General features: G+C 42.5%; 1 protein-coding gene across 10 annotated transcripts in view; it reads right to left on the reverse strand.

Annotated features, from left to right (window-relative positions):
• AMBRA1 (autophagy and beclin 1 regulator 1) overlaps nt 1–14,647 on the reverse strand; it is a 197,612-nt gene that overhangs the window by 147,536 nt on the left and 35,429 nt on the right. For 9 of the 10 annotated variants that reach the window (NR_160027.1, NM_017749.3, NM_001367469.1 and 6 more), the window contains exons 2-6: nt 4,299–4,553; nt 3,870–3,928; nt 3,166–3,349; nt 1,657–1,829; nt 28–94 (exon numbers count right to left, since the gene is read on the reverse strand). Coding sequence is in view for 9 of the 10 variants with exons in the window: in NM_017749.3 (NP_060219.2) it covers nt 28–94; nt 1,657–1,829; nt 3,166–3,349; nt 3,870–3,928; nt 4,299–4,433 (618 nt within the window). In the remaining variant the exon portion in view is untranslated. The remainder of the gene's footprint in view (nt 1–27; nt 95–1,656; nt 1,830–3,165; nt 3,350–3,869; nt 3,929–4,298; nt 4,554–14,647) is intronic. The other variant, NM_001367470.1, reaches the window with a different exon arrangement.

The following is a 14,647-nucleotide window of genomic DNA, read 5'->3' on the forward strand; positions in this document are numbered from 1 at the left end:
GGAATTGGAACTGCTGGACTAACTTACCTGTTGATTAGAGGGGTTAACAATTGCTGTGAGTAAGTAGTGTCCAAGTGGATCAAATCTCACCAGACTAAAATCACAGAAGAAAGAGACAAAGACACACATAGAGAGATTATGTTAACTGAGAAGAGGAAACTTGTGTTTGAATTTATAGCAATCATTACTGATAACTGGTATCACTCAGGTATCCACTTCATTCAAGACTTCCAAAACTTTCAAAGAGATTAAAATAGTAACACTCAATACTTCTTGCCAGAGTAAAGGAATATGTATCACAAAAATAACGATTTCACATGAAAAACACCTAGAGTTGCCATCCCAGGAAACAGCTACCTTAAGCACACCTTTGCTCAAATACAAGAGTTCATCCTAACCGTAAAGCATAAAATGCTCTCATACTCTGCCACAGAATCAGTTCTTCCCTCATATGGCAGCTACACCGGCAAGAAGCATGAATCTTGGTGGCAATGAACAGTCCCAGCATTAAGTGACATAGCTGAAACCAGAAAATTGGCCTGTATTCGACTGGAAATCCAAGAGGACCAAAGAAACACAATGCATCAACTTTAATACAGACAATATGTTTTGATCTTGAGGACTAAATAAATGTCAATTATGTGCTTACATCTCCATCTTCCAGTTTGATAAACACAGACAACCCACCAAGGTATCTAAAATACCACCCAAACTTCTTTCAGGTTTTCCCAAAGAAGTACTATCCAAAACAGTTAGCTTTGAAACTAAAAGAGAGTCTAATGACCCTGATCTCCAAAAACCAGAAGATGAGGCCAATAAGGGAAAGCTGAAATGAACAAAATGAATGTCTCCCAGCTGATTAGTCAGCTGCTTAGAAAGCAGGAGGCGGCCAGGTGCAGTGGCTCATACCTATAATCCCAATACTTTGGGAGGCTAAAGCAGGAGGATCACTGAAGGCCAGTAGTTCGAGACTAGCCTGGGTAACACAGTGAGGCCCCGCCCCCCAAATCTCTACGAAAAAATTTAAAAATTAGCTGAGAGAGGCTGCACACACCTGTAGTCCCAGATACTCATAAGACTGAGGTGGGAGGATTGCTTGGGCCCATGAGGTCAAGGCTGCAGTAACTTGGGCCCATGAGGTCATGACTGCACAACTGTACTCCAGCCTGGGTAACAGAGCAAGACCCTGTCTCCTTAAAAAAAAAAAAAAAGCCGGGGGGGGGGGGGTGGTGGTGGGCATGGTGGCTCATGCCTGTAATCACAGCACTTTGGGAGGCTGAGGTGGGCGGATCACTTAAGGCCAGGAGTTCAAGACCATCCTGGACAACATGGTGAAACCCTATCTTTATTAAAAATACAAAAAAATGAGCCGGGCATGGTGGTGGGTGCCTGCAATCCCAGCTACTCTGGAGGCTGAGGCACGAGAATCGCTTGAACCTAGGAGGCAGAGGTCGCAGTGAGACAAGACTGCGCCACTGCACTCCACCCTGGGTGACAGAGTGACACCCTGTCTCAAAAAAAAAATAGGAGGAGCTATGAGGATGACAACTTGCCCTGAGCAGGGATAACAACCTGACTTCCAAGGTGACAGCCAGTAGAATGTTCTCTATCACGTCAGTCCTGTGCCAGACAATGCAGATGGGGCAGCGCACTCACCGGACCCGTTCCATCTCACTAGCTGTCTTCACCACAGCAAAGGGTTCCCGTCGACTCCAGTCCCAGAAGTGGATCTCATTGGCAGTGGCAATCAGCAGGAGCTGAGCCGTAGGGTGGAAAGCCAGGGAGGCAATGGCATTGTTGCTATCTGTGAACCAGCTTTCACTGCCACCCTGTGAATGAACCAATTCCAGATATTCTCAGGTTACAAGCTACCAGCACACTGGGAAGTCAATTTCAAGAAAGGTCCATTTAAGGTAAAATGACTATGTCTAGGGACTACTTTAAATACATCCTCTGTAAAAAGATGTAGAAGATCAGCGATCTGGTAGTGCCACTAATTTATCAGATAAATACTATACAATCAGTTCAGTTCTTCAAATTAGTCACAATCTACAAGCATTAAGCATATATACACAGTTCCTATTTCTTTTTTTTTTTTTTTTTTTTGACAGGGGGTTTCATTCTGTCACCCAGGCTGGAGTGCAGTGGCACAATCTCAGCACACTGCAACCTCTGCCTCCTAGGCTCAAGCAATCCTCGCACCTCAGCCTCCCAAGTAGCTGGGACCACAGGCGCATGGCACCATGCTCAGCTAATTTTATATAATTTTGTGTATAATATTTTTGGTATAATATCCTGCCCAGGCTGGTCTCAAACTCCTGAACTCAAGCAATCCTCCTGTCTTGGTCTCCTGAAGTGCTAGGAATACAGGCGTGAGCCACCGCGCCCAGCCCACAGTTCCATGCAAAGCCTGAGAAAAACTCAAGCTCGGTGCACAACATGGTGCAAGACAACCCGCTAGCCAGTTACTAGGACAAAGAGGATCTTGCTTTGATGATCATGATCGGAGTACAGGAATATCTGTACTTAGGCAAAGATGCCCTAAGACAACAGAAATCCAACCTGAACATATCTTAGAGCCTCCTGTACTATGTCACAACGGGCTGAAGGAAGCAAAAGTAGATGTTCATCTTAGCAAGAATGGAAGACAATCTCAGGGCATGCTTAAGCTATTGCAAAAAAAAAAAAAAGGAATGGAAGACAGGGAATTAGACTTCCTATTAATTAAGTGGGCAATGTCTACAACAATATATTCAGATGTAGTCCTAAGAATCTGGCTAGGCTCTTCCAGAATTAAAAAACCAATGGTAAACAAGTCTCTGCATTTAGAATACCAAAAGAAGCCGGGCATGGTGGCTCATGCCTGTAATCCCAGCACTTTGGGAGGCCGAGGCAGGCAGACCACTTGAGGTCAGGAGTTCAAGATCAGCCTGGCCAACATAGTGAATCCCCGTCTCTACTAAAAACACAAAAATGAGCCAGGCATGATGGCACATGCCTGTAATCCCAGCTACTTGGGAGGCTGAAGCAGAAGTATCACTTGAACCTGGGAGACGGAGGTTGCAGCGAGCCAAGATCACACCACTGGGCAACAGAGCGAGACTCCGTCTCAAAAAAAAAAAATTAGAACACCAAAAGAAAAGGGTATCTTAAGGAAATACTCACGTGTAAATCCCAAATCCTAACCTCCCCATCTAGGCAGCCAGAAGCAATAAGGCCTGAGATGGTGGGATGAAAAGTGACACACCATGGAGTACGGCGGTGTCCAATCAGGGAATGAACACACTTGCCAGTCTTCACCTCCGTAATATAGATATTATGGTTCACATGGGTGGAGGCTAAGAGAGTCCTAGAAAATCAAAGAGTAGAACTGAATTCAGAAGCATGTGGAAGGGTAACCAATCTTATCAACTTTGGACGACATAGAATATTGATGCTACCTGCCAATCCCAACATGAAAGAAACTAAGCTTTGTATGTTAGGCAGTATATCTACAAACAGAAATATTCTGATCTTTAAAAGCTTTTGGCTTGTCCACACTGTCCCCAAATGACACATGCCACATTCGGAAAATATTTTTTCCCACTGGAAAAACCATCATACCACTGGTGAGCTGTATCACACAGGCAAATGATTGTTATTGAGAAACTTTCCAAGTTTTGATCCTCTCAGTTTCCTTTGCTTGTTCTCATGATTTTTCAGGTTAGCACTGCTCATCTACTTTCTTTCCCTTTCCGACACGGGGCCAAAGTGCTGTTCATACAGTACTTCAGAGAGACTTTAGGGACTGACTTGGAAGATCAAGCCAGGCCAAATATACAGAAAGCACTGTTATCACAAATCTTAAGTTATAGATAAATACTGAGTACCTGTCTGGGCTGAAGGCCAATAAGAAGGTAGAGCGTGGACTATCCGGCAGTTCTACTCTCTGGGAGACAAAAAAAAAAAAAAAGTTAAAATACATGATTTGTAGACCATGGTTCACCGTATCTCAAAAGCACATTAACCATTCTAGATTAGCATTCACAGTGTAGGCTTAAAAACTGGAGACAATGATCAAGCTACAAATTGAGAGAGATAAACCTAAATTACCTTCAGGAAAACTGTCTAGCTCTAAAGGAAAAAGATATTTCTAGCACATTAGTTCTTTCAAATTTACAAACAACTCCCTAAGTCAGATATGTCAACTCTCCCACACAAGATAAATATATCCCAACTCTCTGCTGTTAACCCATTCTAAGGTCTCATTCTACCATCACCAGCACAAATCCTATGTGAAATATAGCCATTTTCCTTACCTTGCCCTCCCATTTCATCCACCGGGTTTTATCTTCTACCAGCTCCTGCAGAAGCCGCTGAGCTCCCATGGCCCGAGCACCCCGTTCTCGCCCCCAGAGTATCCGGACAGCATTCTTTTCTGGGACAACCTTCATGGCGCTCAGTAGCCACTGTCACACCAGGCCCAGGAAATGAAGGAGCAAGTAACAGCTCCAACACACTGAAGCAGCTAAAATGAGGCCATACAGGTCCTTGTAAGTTGTCCTCATGGAAATCTTAAGGAACAAAGAATAATGTCAAAGAACGACTTCTGCAACGAGAAGCTTCTAATTGCAAATACAATTCTAGCTCAAAAGGGAAATTATACTTTTCCTATTTAATGACACTTTCTCAGAAAAGACCCTTCCTCCCAGAATTTTTCTTCCAAAAATATTTCATACTCTCATATTCTCCATAGCTCAACCTTGTAGCTAAAGAAAGGATCAGGCCAAGCACAGTGGCTCACGCCTGTAATCCCCGAACTTTGGGAAGCCAAGGAGATTGGATTGCTTGAGGTCAGGAGTTTGAGACAGCCTGGCCAACATGGTGAAACCCCGTCTCTACTAAAATACAAAAATTAGCCGGGTGTGGTGGCAGGCACCTGTAATCCCAGCTACTCATCAGACTGAAGCAGGAGAATTGCTTGAACCCAGGACGCAGAAGTTGCAGAGAGCTGAGATAGTGCCATTGCACTCCAGTGCCTGGGCGACAGAGCAAGACTCCATCTCAAAAAAAAAAAGATTATTTAGGAGTACCTTTCTCACTCATTTTCTCTTTCTCTTCTCCACTAAAGATCCAGGGTAGAGGACAGAGAAGGAAAGGGAAGGAAAAAAAAAAATCAGGCTCCTTTTCTCATCTACCACAAGACTTACAAGGAGAAAACTTCATCAGAAATTAAAATTCTACTAAAATGGCAACTAGCAGCACAATACACACAAGTGTAATGATTAAAGAACAAATTGTGGTCTATACAATGGACTATGTAAGCCTGATAAAATGGTATTTCAAAAGAATATCTACATATATACAGTGTTATCCACTGTGACATTGTTTCTTTAGCTCCACTATGAATGTTTTAAAAAATATAGGAAAGTTGAAAGAATGGTACAATAAACATACACTATTCTCCACCTAGACTCAAGAATTGTCAATATTTTGCCAAATTTGCCTCATCTATCTCCATGGATAGAGATATGGTTACATTGAGGTTGGTGTTTTTTTTGTATAATTTTGGAATTATTTCAGTAGGTATCAAGACACTTTAACCCTGCATATTTAATTCATTATGCAACTCCTAGGAAGAAGGATGTTCTGCCTCATAACCACAATAACAATACTATACCAATTATCATCTAATACTTCAATTATCATTCGAATTTTCCCCATTGTCCAAAAAATTTCATTTATGGTTGACTTAAAAAAAATCCAGACTCTAATCAAAACTCAAGCAACGACTTTGGACGTTTATGTCTCTTTAGTCTCCTTTATCCTAGAATGGCCTCCATGTTTTGTTTTGTTTATGTTTTCATTTATTTGTGACACTAGCTTTTCTTTCTTTTTTGGGGGGGGTGGGGGACAGAGTCTCACTCTGTGGCCCCAGTTGGAGTGCAACAGCGCAATCTCGGCTCACTGCAACCTCTGCCTCCTGGGTTCATGCAATTCTCCTGCCTCAGCCTCCGGAGTAGCTGGGATTACAGGCACCTGCCACCACACCCAGCTAATTTTTGTATTTTTAGTAAAGACCAGGTTTTGCCATGTTGGCCAGGCTGGTCTTGAACTCCTGACCTCAGGTGATCCACCCGCCTCAGCCTCCCAAAGTGCTGGGATTACAGGTGTGAGCTACTGCACCCAGCCGACACTAGCTTTTCTAAAAGATCAGGAGAGTTGACTTGTTAGAATGCCTTACATCCTAGACTCAACTGATTGTTTCCTCATAGTAGCATTTAGCTTGCCTCTCTATACCTTTATTTCCTGTAAACAGCAGGTTAGGTCTAAAACCTTCATTAGTTTAAATGTTTTTGGTGACAGTGCGTCACAGTTGATGTGCCTATATACCTCAAGGTGGAGTACATCAGGTGGCACATATTTTCAGACTGTACCATCATTAGTGATCATTTGTAGAAAGATGATTACTTGGTTGAGGTTGTTAAGAGCCAGACCTCTCTTTATAAAGGAATATCTCCCCCTTTACAATTAGCAATCTGTGGCAATTATTTGGCATCATGTAAATATCCTATTACTTCTCAACTTTTTACTTAATGGGTTAGCATTCATTGATGATTCTCTCTTGTACTTTTTTAATGGGGGGAGATGCTGAAAATATTCATTTTCTAATTCTATCATTATTTCTACATGTATTAGCTGGCTTTCTTGTACAAATAATAAATTTCCCTTAAAAATTGGTGCAGAGTAGTTACTACTTCTGTCTTATTGCTTACAATAGCAAAAACTGAGGATAACCAAGTGTCCATCTAAAGGGTACTGGATGACTAATCTATGGCAAGGAAGATTCTCTGGCTACTGATAAGAACAGATGTCCAGGCCAGGCGCAGTGGCTCACGCCTGTAATCCCAGCACTTTGGGAGGCCGAGACGGGCGGATCGCGAGGTCAGGAGATCGAGACCATCCTGGCTAACACAGTGAAACCGCGTCTCTACTAAAAATACAAAAAAAAAAAAAAAAAATAGCCAGACGTGGTGGCAGGAGACTGTAGTCCCAGCTACTCAGGAGGCTGAGGCAGGAGAATGGCATGAACCCGAGAGGCAGAGCTTGCAGTGAGCCAAGATCGCGCCACTGCACTCCAGCCTGGGCGACGGAGTGAGACTCCGCCTCAAAAAAAAAAAAAAAAAAAGAATAGATGTCCAAAATATATTGTCGAGAGAAAAAAAGCAAGGTACAAAACAATATATCGAGTAAAGCTACCTTTGAATAAGAAGAAAAACTAATGGTAACACGCTGGGGACTGGAGGGACTAGATAAATGGAAACAAAAATGGATTAATACCTGTCAGTGTTTTTGAAATGGAATTTTAGTTAGTTTGTGGGGACTTTATTTTTATTTTTTAAAGAAACAGGGTATCACTCTATCACCCAGGCTGGAGTGCGATGGTGCAATCATGGCTCACTGCAGCCTCAAAGTGCTGGGCTCAAGCAATCCTCCTGCCTCAGCCTCCAGAGTAGCTAACTTTTAAAATTATTTTAAAGATGGGGTCTCGCTATGTTGCCCAGGCTGGTGCAAACCACTGCACTAGGTGCTGAAATTTTAGTTTTTGAAAAAGGTAAATCTGTTATCTTTATCAAAAATTTTCTTTAAAATATTAAACGACACCAGGCGCGATGGCTCACGCCTGTAATCCCAGAACTTTGGGAGGCCAAGGTGGGCGGATCACCTGAGGTCAGGAGTTTGAGACCAGCCTGGCCAACATGGCAAAACCTACTCTACTAAAAATACAAAATTTACTCTACTAAAAAGACAAAAATTAGGCCAGGTGCAGTGGCTCATGCCTGTAATCTCAGCACTTTGGGAGGCCAAGGCAGACGGATCACCTGAGGTCAGGAGTTCGAGACCAGCCTGGTCAACATGGTGAAACCCCATCTCTACTAAAAATACAAAAATTAGCCAGGCGTGGTGGCAGGCACCAGTAATCCCAGCTACTTGGGAGGCTGAGGCTGGAGAATCGCTTGAACCCAGGAGGCGGAGGTTGTAGTGAGCCAAGATCGCACCACTGCACTCCGGCCTGGGTGACAGAGTGAAACTCCATCTCCAAAAAAAAATTAACCAATTAATTAATCAAAAAAATAAATTAAATTAAATATTAAATGAGGCCAGGCATGGTGGCTCACGCCTATAATCCCAGCACTTTGGAAGGCCGAGGCAGGCAGATCACTTGAGGTCAGGAATTCGGTATTAGCCTGGCCAACATGGCGAAACCCCATCTCTACTGAAAATACAAAAATTAGCCGGGCGTGGTGGTGCACACCTGTAATCCCAGCTACTTGGGAGGCTGAGGCACGAGAATTGCTTGAACCCAGGAGGCTGAGGCTGTAGTGAGCCAAGATGGCACCACTGCACTCCAGCTTGAGTGACAGAGTGAGACTCCATCTCAAAAAAAAAAAAAAAAAAAAAAAAAAAAAAAAAAAAAGGCCAGGCACGGTAGCTCACACCTGTAATCCCAGCACTTTGGGAGGCTGAGGTGGGTGGTAACAAGTTCAAGAGATCGAGACCATCCTGGCCAACATGGTGAAACCCCGTCTCTACTAAAAATACAAAAGTTAGCTAGGCGTGATGGTACGCGCCTGTAATCCCAGCTACTCAGGGGGCTGAGGCGGGAGAATCACTTGAACCCGGGAGGCGGAGGTTGCAGTGAGCCGTGCCATTGCACTCCAGCCTGGGCAACAGAGCGAGATTCTGTCTCAAAAAAAAAAAAAAAAAATTAAATTATGCGGTAAGTACATGTTAAGTGAAAAAAGAACACAAAATTCTATATGCAGTATTAATCCCAACTTTGTTTAAAAAATATTAGGAGAAAAAGGATACAAAAGAAATACAATAAATACTAACCATGGTTGTCTCTCAGTAGTGGCATTATTGGTGATTTAATAATTTTAATAGGCAAGTTTCTATTTTTTTTTCACTTTTTAATTTTAAAAATTATTATTACCAGAAGCCCAAACCTCATCACTCACTTTTTTTCTTTTTTGAGACAGAGTCTCGCTCCGTCACCCAGGCTGCAGTGCAGTGGGGCGATCTCGGCTCACTGCAACCTCTGCCTCCTGGGTTCAGGTAATTCTGTTTCAGCCTCCCGAGTAGCTGGGACTACAGGCGCCTGCCACCACACCCGGCTAATTTTTGTATTTTTAGTAGAGATAGGGTTTCACCATATTGGTCAGGCTGGTCTCGAACTCCTGACCTCAGGTGATCCACCCGCCTCAGCCTCCCAAAGTGCTGGGATTACAAGCGTGAGCCACCACGCCCGGCCACCATTCACTTTTTTAAAAAGTAATAACTATTTATTGTAAAAAGCCAAACAATAATTGGCTCTTTACATTTCACAAAAGGCTGCAATCTAAAGAGTACACAACCAGATGTATCCAAATACAGACAGAAAAAAACATTAACAGCCTGTGTTGAAGGAGTTCTCTCACTGGAGTACTAAGATGTAAAAGTCAGAAAGATTTCACAGCAAGAAAACACCAAGTTTGGCCAGGTGCAGTGGCTCACACCTGTAATCCCAGCACTTTGGGAGGCCAAGGCGGGCAGATCACAAGGTCAGAAGTTCGAGACCAGCCTGGCCAACATAGTGAAACCCTGTCTCTACTAAAAATACAAAAATTAGCCAGGCGTGGTAGCTCATGCCTGTAGTCCCAGCTACTTGGGAAGCTAAGTTGGGAGAATCGCTTGGACCTGGAAGGTGGAACTTTCAGTGAGCTGAGACCGTGCCATTGTACTTCAGCCTGGGTGACAGAGTGAGACTCCATCTCAAAAAAAAAACACAAAAACAAAAACAAAAAAACTCACCAAGTTCCTAGTCCTACACAGCACAGAGTTACCTAAGGAGTGACAAAGAAACAAATTCTAGCCTGTATCCTCATGATACAGCTCTCATCACTTATTAGTGCATAAATATGTACTGAAAATATCAACATTTTCAGGCCAACTTCCTGAATAGGCTAAGGATGAACTAACTGGAAGGAAATCATCTCCTTAGTAACCCTGACAACTCATAGATTAGGATCAGAAATCTAGACCTGAACCCAGGGTAGCCCTTCGGTCAAACTGCCACATAAGTGATTAATTACTAACCAGGAAAGTGCCAAAAATACAGTTCCTATTAGTTTACCTTAACCCTCTACTGCAATTCTTTTACCCAATATAAAAAAGTTCAGAAGAAACATCTTGAGAGTCCTTTGTCTTAACAGTGCAATATAAAGGCACTTTCAAAGAAATACACTTAAACCATTTATAATCTTACAAGGTGTGGTGGAAACAGCAGCAGTCCAATTCCTAAAAATAAAAAATAAAAAAAACCGACCTTCCGACCTCCTGTTACTCAAGAGGAACAATAAAATACAGGTCACAAGTACTGTATGACTCAGAAAACTGTGATGCAACCTCAGATTCCTACAGGATTCAGAAAGGGGAAAGAGTAGCTACAAATATCAATACCAAGAAAAAAATCAAAGGATCAGGATTACCAAACAACATTTCTATCAATTTCCAGGGACCTAAACACACTAACAGCTCAAACAAGAGAAAGCTTTACTGATGGGAAGAAGTCAGAGGGAGTAAAACAATTACACAATCTCTCTTTCATCTGAAGAAAAATATTTGCTGTTGCTTTAAAAGGATAAGGGACTTCTCTCCTGATATGCTCTTACCAGCCACCTGAGAAGAGATTTTACTCTGTTCCCTGTAAAGAACAAAGGGAGCTAAGTCAAACTGAAGTCACACAGGGCTGCTGATGAGGAGAAAATGCCAGTCAATTGTGTTTTTCATTCCTCTTTTAAAAAGGAAGAAGAAACAAGTTTCCCAATCTGTCCCTTAAAGTAAAGCAGACTGAGACAAAGGTTACCAACAATAGTCTTTGTGATACCGTCACACAGTCCCCAAAATCAATTCTCAATCACCAAAAGCTTATCCAAGTAGAAGCAAAAGACATGGCTAGGATATGTACATAAGACAAATGCCGGTCAGGCATGGTGGGAGGCCAAGGTGGGAAGGTTGCTTGAGTCCAGGAGGTCAAGACTACAGTGAGCCATGATTGCACCGCTGCACTCTTCAGCCCAGGTAATAGAGTGAGACCCTGTCTTAAAAAAACAAACAAACAAACAAAAAGACAAATGCCAAGATTCCATCCCATTTCCACACACACATACTCCCACTCCCAATAACATGACTGAGTACTCTCCAAAGGTGAGAAGGCAATCACCTTTCCAGATTTTCTCTATTTAATTCTAAGAGACAATTATATTTAACAACTACTCATAAAAACCATCTAGAGAGTATGCCACAACCCAGTGGGAATTAGAAGTTAGATTTAGAGGTTCCTTGTGCAATCTGATTATCTTATGCCAGGAATTTTACTCCACCTTCTAGCTATACGACTTTGGGGATACTTAACCTCTTTGAGGCTTCGTTTCCTCCTCTGTAAAACATGATCACAATGTCTGCTTCATAGGGTTGTTATGAGACTCCAAATAAGAAAACAGCTGTGGAAATATGAATCTTGTTTCTGTTGTTTTTATTACTATTGAATCCTCTCTGAGGTTCACTATGGTTTCCCTCACCAAACAATAGGGCCAACTGAAACCCCAGAGACACCACAATTCCCAAGAGTAGCAGATTTCTAAGAATTATGTCAAAGGCTGTTACCAGAAAACAAAGTAAAAAGTGCTCAGGGAGAAAATAAAGTATGTTTATGTGGCAAAAATAATTCATTGTGATTTGGGCTCCCTCTACATAGTTTAGTAAAGTGAATTAAAAACCAGAACCAACAATTTATAGCTGTATCTAAAACCTGACTAATAATTCATACCCCAAATCTTCCCCTTCCTATTGCATTTAGGAGTGTGATTCAGAAACCTATAGACCTGCAAGAAGCTGTTAAAATGGAGTCCAATCTCCTTATTTATTTGAGTAACTGCATCTCTCTTCCACTTCACTATGCCCATGTGGGCAAAGTCTAAGAGTCAAACCAACCATGTAATACTGACATATATTCCATAACTTGATTTAACCCAAGGATATAATTATTTTTTAAAAAATCCTTTAAATACTAATTCTAAGACCACTTGCATAAGTAAAGTTCACCCAAATGGAAAATTAACTACAAAATTTCAGGCTTTTAATTAGAAGCCTAAAACTGCCCCAGTACTCTTTGGAAACTCCATATGGATGGAAATACACAGGGTTTTCTACGACTGGCAGCTTTGTTTTTATTAATAGGACTTTCCTACGGCCATTTCAGGATACTTCAAGTAACATCATATAGAACCAAAGTTCAAACTGTAAGCACCACAAGCCAGCACCCACACCTGACTCCATACAGCTCTTGTGTGACTCTTACACTAGACTGAATTTACAGGGGTACAGAGAATGTGGGGAAAAACATCATAAATTTAGAACAGTAAACAACACATTCCCGAAGGCAAACACACCTAGAAGCAGAAAAACTCCAACTATTCCCTGAATTGTGTATCTATTGTGTGCAAAAGATATCCAAGGATATGGCAAAGTGCTAACTGGTTAACTCTAGATGGAGAAGTCATGAGTGATATTTATTTTATTGTTATTATCCATAACATCCAAATTACAGTCAATATGTATAGTCATATATATGGGCCCCGCAGTCAGAATGGTTGATTGAATTCCAGCTCCATCCTTTTCCTGGTATATGATGGTATCTTGATTTCTAGGAATAGTTACTTAACCTGACTGTACCTTAGTTTCCTCATCCATAAAATGTGACTATTGATAGTATGTATATCACAGGGCTACCACAAGGATCAAAATATTTACCATATGAAAAATGCTTATAGTAGAATAATAGCTTCATTCTGTAATGAAGAATTAGTATGAAAATGGTAATAAGGGCTGGTTGCGGTGGCTCATGCCTGTAATCCCAGCACCTTGGGAGGCTGAGGCGGGTGGATCACCTGAGGTCAGGAGTTCAAGACCAGCCTGACCAACATGGAGAAACCCTGTCTCTATTAAAAATACAAAATTAGCCAGGCATGGTGGTGCATGCCTGCAATCCCAGCTACTTAGGAGGCTGAGGCAGGAGAATCCCTTGAACCCGGGAGGTGGAAGTTGTGGTGAGCAGAGATCGTGCCATTGTACTCCAGCCTGGGCAACAAGAGCGAAACTCCATCTCAAAAAAAAAAAAAAATTAGCCAGGCATGGTGACATGTGCCTGTAGTCCCAGCTACTCAGGAGGCTGAGGCAGGAGAATCACTTAAACCTGGGACACAGAGGTTGCAGTGAGCCGAGATCACGCCACTGCACTCCAGCCTGGGGGAGAGAGTGAGACTCCATCTCAAAAAAAAAAAAAAAAAGAAAGAAAGAAAATGGTAATAAGAACACACAATATTTAATTTCTAAAAATAAAAAGTTTAGGCCACAAAGCCCTGTAAACAGTCAGACAAATTAAATTTAAAACAAATTCTTCTAGGCAAAATGAGACCGTCCACTGTAGAGGTCTCCAAACCATTTCATATAAAAGATCTTACCACTGTCACCTTTTTAAAAACAAAAAATAAAACCAGCCAGGCACAGTGGCTCACACCTGTAATCCCTGCCCTGGGAGGTTGAGGTGGGAGGATTGTTTGAGTCCAGGAATTCAAGATCAGCCTGGTCAACATAGTGAGACCCCTGTCTCTACAAAAATTGTTTAAAATTAGCTAGGCATGGTGGCATGTGCCTGTGGTTCCAGCTACTCGGAAGGCTGAGGTGGGAGGATAGCCTGAGCCCAGGAGGTCGAGGCTGCAGTGAGCCCTGATCATGCCACCACACTCCAGCCTGGGTGACAGAGCAAGGCCCTGACTCAAAAAACAAACAAACATAGCCCGGCATGGTGATGCATGCCTGTACTAACAGCTACTGGAGAGGCCGAGGCAAGAGAATCACTTGAACCCAGGAGGTGGGGGTTGCAGTAAGCCCAGCTTGTGCCACTACACTCCAGCCTGGGCGACTGAGCAAGACTCAGAGAGGACCTGCATGATAAGATACCATGTGGAGAGAGAGAAGCCACGTGGAAGACTATCAAGATACCAAGCAAATGAGTGAAACCTTCTTAGACCTTCTAACCTAGCCCAACCACCAGCTGAAAGCAGACGCACAAAGCACAACTGATGTTACACAGGGGAGAAGGACCATCCAGACAAGTCCTGCCCAAATTCCTAACCTGAGTAATTATGAGACAAAATAAATCTTTATTGTTTTAAGCCACCAATTTTGTGGTGGTTTTTGTACATCAATAGATAACTAAAACACTACTAACCTAATATCACCGGGCGCAGTCGCTCACACCTGTAATCCCAGCACTTTGGGAGGCCGAGGCAGGCAGATCACGAGGTCAGGAGTGCGAGACCAGCCTGATCAAAACAGTGAAACCCCAGCTCTACTAAAAATACCAAAATTAGCTGGGCATGGTGGCACATGCCTGTAATCCCAGCTACTCAGGAGGCTGAGGTAGGAGAATCGCTTGAACCCGGGAGGTGGAGGTTGCAATGAGCTGAGATCCCACTACTGCAATCCAGCCTGGGCGACACAGCCAGACTCCCTCTCAAAAAAAAAAAAAAAAAAAAAAAAAACCACTACCTACCTAGTATCT

This window comes from Homo sapiens, chromosome 11, assembly GCF_000001405.40.
Source record: "Homo sapiens chromosome 11, GRCh38.p14 Primary Assembly".
Classification (NCBI taxonomy): Eukaryota; Metazoa; Chordata; class Mammalia; order Primates; family Hominidae; genus Homo; species Homo sapiens.